The sequence below is a fragment of the Homo sapiens genome, chromosome 11 (genome assembly GCF_000001405.40).
Source record: "Homo sapiens chromosome 11, GRCh38.p14 Primary Assembly".
Classification (NCBI taxonomy): domain Eukaryota; kingdom Metazoa; phylum Chordata; class Mammalia; order Primates; family Hominidae; genus Homo; species Homo sapiens.
In genome coordinates this window covers 5,678,503-5,687,995 of record NC_000011.10, presented here as the reverse complement: position 1 = coordinate 5,687,995, position 9,493 = coordinate 5,678,503, and the positions used below count along the sequence as shown (strand labels likewise).

The 9,493-nt window shown below is 45.9% G+C and overlaps 1 protein-coding gene across 19 annotated transcripts in view, besides 2 other annotated features; it reads left to right on the top strand.

The window, feature by feature from the left end:
- Nucleotides 2,915-3,164: an enhancer, noted in NCBI's record as "active region_4331". NCBI's record gives its function as "activates an Ori minimal core promoter by ATAC-STARR-seq in GM12878 lymphoblastoid cells {active_cell/tissue: GM12878}" and the evidence as "EXISTENCE:reporter gene assay evidence [ECO:0000049][PMID:35858748]".
- The window catches only part of TRIM5 (tripartite motif containing 5), a 96,440-nt gene continuing 89,868 nt past the window's right edge, over nucleotides 2,922-9,493 (top strand). For 11 of the 19 annotated variants that reach the window (XR_007062519.1, XR_001748014.3, XR_007062520.1 and 8 more), the window contains exons 1-3: nucleotides 2,922-3,128; nucleotides 7,758-8,235; nucleotides 8,827-8,922. Coding sequence is in view for 12 of the 19 variants with exons in the window: in XM_047427784.1 (XP_047283740.1) it covers nucleotides 7,819-8,235; nucleotides 8,827-8,922 (513 nt within the window). In the remaining 7 variants the exon portion in view is untranslated. The remainder of the gene's footprint in view (nucleotides 3,129-7,757; nucleotides 8,236-8,826; nucleotides 8,923-9,493) is intronic. The other 8 variants (XR_007062522.1, XR_007062518.1, XR_007062521.1 and 5 more) reach the window with 1 other exon arrangement.
- Nucleotides 7,996-9,195: an enhancer, noted in NCBI's record as "BRD4-independent group 4 enhancer chr11:5700031-5701230 (GRCh37/hg19 assembly coordinates)". NCBI's record gives its function as "activates an origin of replication core promoter dependent on BRD2, P300/CBP, MED14 and CDK7 cofactors, and independent of BRD4, by STARR-seq in HCT116 cells {active_cell/tissue: HCT116}" and the evidence as "EXISTENCE:reporter gene assay evidence [ECO:0000049][PMID:35650434]".

Genomic DNA, 9,493 nt, shown 5'->3' with positions numbered 1-9,493 from the left:
AATATCTTGTTGACATTTGTAGGGGAGTGAGCGCTCAGTGAGTGAATGTGTTTTTTCTGGAGTGCACAGAGTGGAGTCCGAGTGTCAACCACAATGGACAAAGTGAATGAACTCATTTATCCAGAGACCTGTTCTCTGTCCATTATTTCTTCCCTTCTCAGCACTTCCATAGATCTCATAGCCATCCTTTTATTCTCGTCTGGCTTTGAACATCTGAAGTGAACTTTCATCCTGGTCTGATTTATCTCATGAAGTATTAATTGCAGCTGAGAGAAAACAGTAGTAATATTAGGTCCTGACAAGATACCAGAAAACGTGGGCCAATAGAAAAACTGAATGCACCACACACAGTTTATCACCAGAGTAGAGCATGTTGGCAGGCTCCATATTCTAACCTATGTTCTAAATTGTAGAAAAAATATATTATTGTTGGAGCTCTGTGTTTTCTCTGTAAACCCTTTTTTTTTTTTTTTTTTTTGAGACGGAGTCTCGCTCTGTCGCCCAGGCCGGACTGCGGACTGCAGTGGTGCGATCTCGGCTCACTGCAAGCTCCGCTTCCCGGGTTCACGCCATTCTCCTGCCTCAGCCTCCCGAGTAGCTGGGACTACAGGCGCCCGCCACCGCGCCTGGCTAATTTTTTGTATTTTTAGTAGAGACGGGGTTTCACCTTGTTAGCCAGGATGGTCTCAATCTCCTGACCTCATGATCCACCCACCTTGGCCTCCCAAAGTGCTGGGATTACAGGCGTGAGCCACCGCGCCCAGCCTGTAAACCTTATATATCCTGCTTTCCTGCTTGAAAAGGAATCAAATGAAATATCTCTACCTTTGGGTCCATGGATATTTAACATTTTTCTCTTCAAGAAAAAGAGCAAAATAAGAGTAAATATGGTTAGAGTCTGAATAATACTTAGGAAGAAAACAGAGAGGATATTTTAAAAAATCGTTTAAAATTTGTTTAAAAATTTACATAATTACTTTTTTTTTTTTTTTTTTTTTTTTTTTTTTTTTTTTTTTTTGAGACAGAGTCTCACTCTATTGCCCAGGCTGGAGTGCAGTGGCATGATCTCGGCTCACTTCAACCTCCACCTCCCGGGTTCACGCAATTCTCCTTCCTCACCCTCCTGAGTAGCTGGGATTACAGGCATCTGCCATTACACCTGGCTAATTTTTGTATTTTTCGTAGAGATGAGGTTTCACCATGTTGGTCAGGCTGGTCTCAAATTCCTGACCTCAAGTGATCCACCCGCCTTGGTCTCCCGAAGTGCGAGGATTACAGGTGTGAGCCACTGCAAATGTAATCATTACATAATTATTACTAATGCCACATAATTATTACTAAATAACAATTAGTAATATTAATTATAATTGTAACTATTAATAATTGTAATTATTAATAATACTAATTATTATAATTATTACTATAATTATTACTGCCACATAATTATTACTAATGCCAGAAGAATATTTGAATTAAACTAGGTGACACAGCAGTTATCTTTACAGCAAGAATAGAACAGAAATGTGACATCAAGATATTCAATTAAAATTAGATTAATAGCTATATATCTTCATATCTATTTAAATATTACTCCTTATATACACCATATTCTAGTAAATCTGAGACAATAAAGAACAAAATGCAAAAGCCCCCTACCTGATTTCATGAAACAGAAAGCTGCGGGGGTACAGTGTGGAGGGGGTATGAGGTTACTGATGATGGAATTAAGTGATAACAGGCTGCCCACTGCAGTGCTCCCCATTGCCTTCTCCTGAGGCATTTTCATTTTCAAACTAAATACTCCTCTCTACCAATGATCCTAGTTCCAGTGTGGACTTCCTGAGATGTTCCAGTAAGGGAAAGCTTAGAAGGGAGGCTATGGTACATGGACCACAGTTCAGCCTTTTGGACCAGTTTTGCATAGTAACCAGAAGAGAAGAGAGAGGAAGGCCTGGCCCTGCTCAGGGATGCAATAGATACTTTGGAAAAGACAACAGCGGGAAGTTGGAGAGTTCTTTGAAAGTGAATAGTTGAAAGAAATAATGTGGTATTTCTTTATCGCTCTCCAGATAAACTTCTTTTTTTTTTTTTTTTTTTTTTTTTTTTTGAGACGGAGTCTCACTCTGTCGCCCAGGCTGGAGTGCAGTGGCGCGATCTCTGCTCACTGCAAGCTCCGCCTCCCGGGTTCACGCCATTTTGCTGCCTCAGCCTCCGGAATAGCTGGGACCACAGGCACCCGCCACCATGCCCGGCTAATTTTTTATTTTATTTTATTTTATTTTATTTTATTAGAGATGGGTTTTCACCGTGTTAGCCAGGATGGTCTCGATCTCCTGACGTTGTGATCCGCCCGCCTCAGCCTCCCAAAGTGCTGGCATTACAGGCGTGAGCCACCGCGCCCGGCCCTCTCCAGATAAATTTCTAGCATCCTGTCCTCTCTGGGTTTCGGAGTCTTAATAATATGACATCTCTCCTACCTGCAGCTCCTTTTCTGTTCATAGGTCCTATAAGATTTTTAAGTCCAGACCAGAAATCTACTGCAATTCTCTAAAAATCATTAACTTTGTTCTTCCTTCTCTTTGGGCCATATCTGTCACCCAGAAGCAGAACTCAGCTGTGAGATCAGGAGCAAGAGGAGCACATTGGAAGAATTTCGAAAAAGGGCACCTTTTCTAATTTTTAATACTTGGCTGGGTTAATCTGAAACTATGTCAGAAGAAGTGGCATGATAACAAGATCCTGAGACTCAAGAGAAAAGGGAGATTGAGTGGGAATGCCTCTAGTTCCCACGGCTCCTCCTGTGAACAGCACAGCTACACGGCCCGGCTGATTCATTCAGAGGGCGGGACTCACCAGGCCCTACGTGGAGAAATGCCATTGGCCCATAGTTTATCTTTCACTTTCCTGCCCTGAGTGTGAGCAAGAATTTCCTGCGGTTCCTCTAGGAAAATTCCTTTGTGCAGATCAGGCCCGTGGATTGGTGAGTGAATCCTAACCACGTCTTCCCTGGCCTGTCTTCACTCTTCTCCCCAGAATCACCACTTCTGCACTGGTGTCTGAAGGTGTATTGAGTGATTTTGTGGAGGGCAGAAGTAGGAAGTCTTTGGGACAAAACTGTATTTACCTTGGTGAGTTTAACTTATCTGAAAAGCTGTGCGGGGGTGGGGAAAAGACACAGTTCACAGACTTCTTGCTGCCAGAGCTGACTGAGGGGAACAGAGCCGCCTGGCGGGCAGGCAGATTTGAAAGAAGGGAGAGCTTTAAAGTGAAGGGCTTTGTTTCCCGAAGGCTGGTTATTTTTCCATGCTGACTCTCTCCCCATCCCCTCCCTACTCTATACTTTTTAATTGAACTTTGCTGTAGAGAGCCAGAATTCTCTCTTTCAGTGTCTTCTCCCAACAACAAGGGCAAAGACAGGGGCCTTGGAATCCTAATGATTTAATGCCTATTAGTTTACTAATGTAGTGTTTCTGCATAACTCTACAGGTCAGTTCTCATCACCTTGGCCTGGCTCTGTGACATCAGCCTTCATGGTGTGACAGCTGTCCAGTTCTGTAGTCCTGTCATTGTCACTGTAAATGGAGTTCTTTCCCTAGTTCATATTGGTTACAAAGATAATGGGAAAAAAGGCAAGCAGGTTTTATTTCTTGCTAGGAGTGGAGAGTAAGAGAGCTCCTTCTCTAAAGCCCCCTCCCCCAAAACAGTGGAAAGCATTGGCTTTAAAAGAACTGAGTACGGGGAGAGAAAGGAGTGTTAGCCTATAGGGTGGAACTCCAGTTGTGCCACCTCTGTTTATAAACACATGTCTTCATACTGTGTCCGGAATTGGTGGGTTCTTGGTCTCACTGACTTCAAGAATGAAGCCGCGGACGCTTGCAGTGAGTGTTACAGTTCTTAAAGGCGGCATGTCCGGAGTTTCTTCCTTCTGATGTTCGGATGTGTTCAGAGTTTCTTCTTTCTGGTGGGTTCGTGGTCTCGCTGGCTCAGGAGGGAAGCTGCAGACCTTCGCGGTGAGTGTTACAGCTCATAAAGGCAGTGTGGACCCAAAGAGTGAGCAGTATTAAGATTTATTGCAAAGAGGAAAATAACAAAGCGTCCATAGTGTGGAAGGGGACCAGCGCAGGTTGCCACTGCTGGCTCAGGCAGCCTGCTTTTATTCTCTTATCTGGCCCCACCCACATCCTCCTGATTGGTCCATTTTACAGAGAGCCGAGTGGTCTGTTTTGACAGGGCACTGATTGGTGCATTTACAATCCCTGAGCTAGACACAAAAGTTCTCCAGTCCCCACTAGATTAGCTAGATACAGAGTGTAGACACAAAGATTCTCCACATCCCCACCAGAGTAGCTAGATACAGAGTGTCGATTGGTGCATTCACAAACCCCGAGCTAGACACAGGGTGCTGATTGGTGTGTTTACAAACCTTGAGCTAGATACAGAGTGCCGATTGGTGTATTTACAATCCCTTCGCTAGACATAAAGTTTCTCCAAGTCCCCACCAGAGTAGCTAGATATAGAGTGTCGATTGGTGCATTCACAAACCCTGAGCTAGACACAGGGTGCTGATTGGTGCATTTACAATCCCTTAGCTAAACATAAAGGTTCTGCAAGTCCCCACCAGACTCAGGAACCCCACTGGCTTCACGCAGTGGATCCTGCACCGGGCCGCAGGTGGAGCTGCCTGCCAGTCCTGTGCCATGCCACGCACCTGCACTCCTCAGCCCTTGGGTGGTGATGGGACTGGGCGCCGTGGAGCAGGGGGCGGTGCTCGTCAGGGACGCTCGCGCAGCACAGGAGCCCAAGGGGTCGTGGGGAGGCTCAGGCATGGTGGGCTGCAGGTCCTGAGCTCTGCCCCGCGGGGAGGCAGCTAAGGCCCGGCGAGAAATTGAGCACAGCAGCTGCTGGCCCAGGTGCTAAGCCGCTCACTGCCCGGGGCAGCGGGGCCGGCCGGCCACTCCGAGTGCGGGGCCCACCAAGCCCACGCCCACCCGGAACTCCAGCTGGCCCACAAGCGCGGCGCGCAGCCCCGGTTCCCGCTCGCCCCTCTCCCTCCACACCTCCCTGCAAGCTGAGGGAGCCAGCTCCGGCCTTGGCCAGCCCAGAAAGGGGCTCCCACAGTGCAGCGGTGGGCTGAAGAGCTCCTCAAGTGCCGCCAAAGTGGGAGCCCAGGCAGAGGAGGCGCCAAGAGCGAGTGAGGGCTGCAAGGACTGCCAGCATGCTGTCACCTCTCAATACAACCCAGGCACACAAAATGGTGGAGATTTTCTTGTTTGGTGTCGTGTGGGGGAGGGGGTAACTTAACACTCTAGTGATATGTTAATGATCTAAAGGCAATTAGGGATTGTCAGTTCCAGTATATACGCTGGTTCGGGGGTCTAATTTCCCCCTTGGATCTGGTCAGGGGTCAAGATCTGGACCATGCTGGGCAGTCTGGCTTCTTCTTAAGCAACTTTGTCTATACATAAAGGGAATAAAGAAAAACGTTAAGAAAAATAACTTTCCCAGTCATTTCATCAGGGCTTCCCTGGTGACAGCATCTGTTTGCCTCTACTAGGGCACCAAGTCCAGACTCAGGGAACTACTGGATTTTCTTAAAAATCATTAACCTTGCTCCTCCCTCTCCGTGGGCCGTATCTGCCCCCCAAAAGCAGAGCTTAGGTGAGATACGAAGAGCAGGAGAAGCATGTGGAAAGAATACCCAAGTAGCTGGGATTACAGGCACCTGTCACCAAGCTCAGCTCATTTTGTATTTTTAGTAGAGACAGAATTTCACCATGTTGGCCAGGCTGGTCTTGAACTCCCAGCCTCAGGTGATCCGCCTGCCTTGGCCTCCCAAAGTACTAGGATTACAAGCGTGAGCCACCACACCCGTCTGGTTAAGTTAAATATTAAAAGCTGAAGCCGGGCACGGTGGCTCACGCCTGTAATCCCAGCACTTTAGGAGGCCGAGGCAGGTGGATCACAAGGTCAGGAGTTGGAGACCAGACTGGCCAATATGGTGAAACCCCATCTGTACCAAAAATACAAAAATTAGCCGGGTGTGGTGGTGCGTGCCTGTGGTCCCAGCTGCTCGGGAGGCTGGGGCAGAGGAGTCACTGGAACCTGGGAGGCAGAGGTTGTGGTGAGCCGAGATTGTGCCATTGCACTCCAGCCTGGGCGACAGAGCAAGACTCCGTCTCAAAAAAGAAAAAAAAATATTAAAAGCTGATAGAGCCAGTGCCCTTATACAAAGGCTGGAATGTAACAGAAGCCCACTGAGAGTTTTGCCCAGGCCTTTCCTGGGCCTTGAAGCATGACAAGATAACGAAGGAATCGATTAGGACCTGTTTAGGATTAAACAAGTTTTATGGGGGTCTGAAGGAACTCCCAGGCCTCCACAAACAAGTTTATTGAGGGTCTGAAGGAACTCCGCAAACCTTAATGATTTAGCAGGAGAGACAAGATAAGGGTAATCACCCCAGCACCCGGACCCATCTAGATTAGGTAAATTTACTGAGGCACCAGAGGAAGGTCTTAAAACTCAGACCTTAGTTATAGATTTGAAGAAGTTAATCACTTATGTTTTTAGATGAATAATGCACACCTATACGTAGACGTATAGCTTAGAAGGTATATAAGCTCTGGAAAACTTTGTAATTTTGAGTTGGTCTGGAGATATTTTCTAGGCCTTCTCCCTGTACGCAGAAATAAAAATTCGCTTCTTTCCCAGTAAATCTGCATCTCGTTATTGGGCCGCAAGAAGCAGCAGCCGACCCTCCGTTTGTTCCGGGAACAGAATCATCTCATCTAATATTTTGAGACTTCTCTCTCAAGACTGATATCCACTGCCTCTGTGCTTCTAGTTTTCAAGTATCCAACATGTGTGGTCCACTGAGTATTTCTCTATCATCACCCTCTACACCATGTCTACACCTTTAGGCTCCAATAAATGTCCTTGGCAAACTTTCAGGATGAGACTCCTCAGAACCTCCCAGCTGTTGTGGATTCCTCTACTTCCACACCCCAATTGCTCTGGGTATTAATTGGATATATGCTGTTATCTCCATTTGTCATTGATTAACCAAAAGAGTAGCAAAGAGGCCAGTGAAAGAGGACCCTGAATACGAGGTCATCTCAGGTCACCATACTGAAGATAAATAATTTTTGTAAATCACTTATTATGTCTATTTATACATTTGATGAAACAGTCATTCACTCTGCTGATAATAAGAGCAATCATTGCAAACGTACAGTGCATGGTGAGATTTGTTACACTGCACATAAGGTAGTCAGAGCAGGTATTTTTGATAATATAACATGTAAGGAGAGAATTTAATAAAATCGTACTAACATCAGAGAAACATTTCATGCTGAGAGAAGAGCAAATGTGAAAGCCCTGAGGCATAAGCTGTTTGGTGATTTTAATACTGAGGATGTGTTTTGGCGTGGGAAAGAAAAGCCAGGAGAGATGATGGGTCACACAAAGATCTTGGTAGAAAAGACCTCAGTCTGTTTTCTATTCATTGAAAGTAAAGAAAAATGATAACCAATGCACAGATAAGAACAGAATTTGTCATATGACATGAACTGGCAGTAAAGTATTTAAGGTGATTATGAAAAGCCCTTATTACCAGGTAACCAAACACCTTTTCTTATTTCTCCCCTTTTTTTGTCCTTAATTATTTTCATCTTGCCCATTTTCTAATTGTGCACAATCAATATCCTTTCTATTTCTACCTTTCTTACTTGGTCCCATTTTAACCTTCCCAATCATGCAGGGATCTGTGAACAAGAGGAACCTCAGCAGCCAGGACAGGCAGGAGCAGTGGAATAGCTACTATGGCTTCTGGAATCCTGGTTAATGTAAAGGAGGAGGTGACCTGCCCCATCTGCCTGGAACTCCTGACACAACCCCTGAGCCTGGACTGCGGCCACAGCTTCTGCCAAGCATGCCTCACTGCAAACCACAAGAAGTCCATGCTAGACAAAGGAGAGAGTAGCTGCCCTGTGTGCCGGATCAGTTACCAGCCTGAGAACATACGGCCTAATCGGCATGTAGCCAACATAGTGGAGAAGCTCAGGGAGGTCAAGTTGAGCCCAGAGGGGCAGAAAGTTGATCATTGTGCACGCCATGGAGAGAAACTTCTACTCTTCTGTCAGGAGGACGGGAAGGTCATTTGCTGGCTTTGTGAGCGGTCTCAGGAGCACCGTGGTCACCACACGTTCCTCACAGAGGAGGTTGCCCGGGAGTACCAAGTAAGAGACTGGGATGGAAGGAAGAGAGGGCAGAAAATGGGACCAGATGGAAAATTTTCACTTTGCCTTTGACATTAACTGCCTTGTCATGATAGACCTGAGACCCGGGATTATTTTTTTCATGCTATGCTTAACTTCTGAGGCTTTAAGGATGGTTTTTTGCATTTCACCCAATTACAGGAGAATAATCCTAGAGTATATATTCCTGGCCGGGAGTAAATATTTTGTACCTTGGGTTAGATGGGTAGAGATTTGGTGTCCAAGAAAAGCTCTGATTACCCCTTTCAGCAGGAGAGTAACAGGAGTGGGTTGAGATGTAAGTTTTTTCCTTGCTGCAGGATTAGTTTTTTCTTCTAGGACAAAAAGAATCAGTCTACTCATGGTGAGGAGATGGGGAGGTCTATTACCTGAGATGTAGGGAGCACATTCACCAATGTAAGTTTTCTTCCAAGTCATGGATTCTCATTGCCATTCTCACAGTTTCTGCAAATTTGTTTCTTCTGAGATCAACCTGATTTATTTCATGTTTATACTCTATCTAGGTGCTGGAAAACCTCATAGCTTGACTATGGTGTGATTCCTTTCTCACAGGTGAAGCTCCAGGCAGCTCTGGAGATGCTGAGGCAGAAGCAGCAGGAAGCTGAAGAGTTAGAAGCTGACATCAGAGAAGAGAAAGCTTCCTGGAAGGCAAGAGGATGTGGTTCCCGAAGGAGTTAGCTAGAAATCTGGGCAGGACCAGGGGAAGGAGCTTTCTTCCTCTTTATTCCCTGACATTTGATAAGTCCAGAAGTCATTTGATTAGTCCTCTTCATCCTTTCCCTGATGGGGTGTGGTGGCTGAGGAGTGAATATGTCACAGTGAACACAGTAGGGAGCTCTTTACATGAAGGATCTCTCTGGTGAGGATGGCTAGTGAATCCTGCATTCTATTTTTGTGCTACTTTTTGAGTCCGTGACTCTACTTGGGGAAGACATTTGGCAATGGCTCATGATTCTGTCCTCAGTGTTCAACTTTTGGCAGGGAGTTTGAGCTTGGGCTGAGAAGTAATACAGGCAGGCATGAGTGTCCTGCATAGCTGTGTGAAAGGTAAGCTACATCCAGGTAACCCATTTTGATGCAGGATGAACCTCAATATACCCATTCAAGGTCATTGTTTTAAAATGTCATGAAGGAAAAGAAATAGGAAAAGGCAGCTTTCCTAAGACCTACTCTCCTGCTACTATGTCCCCTCCTTGTGAGAACTCCCCAAAAGAAACAG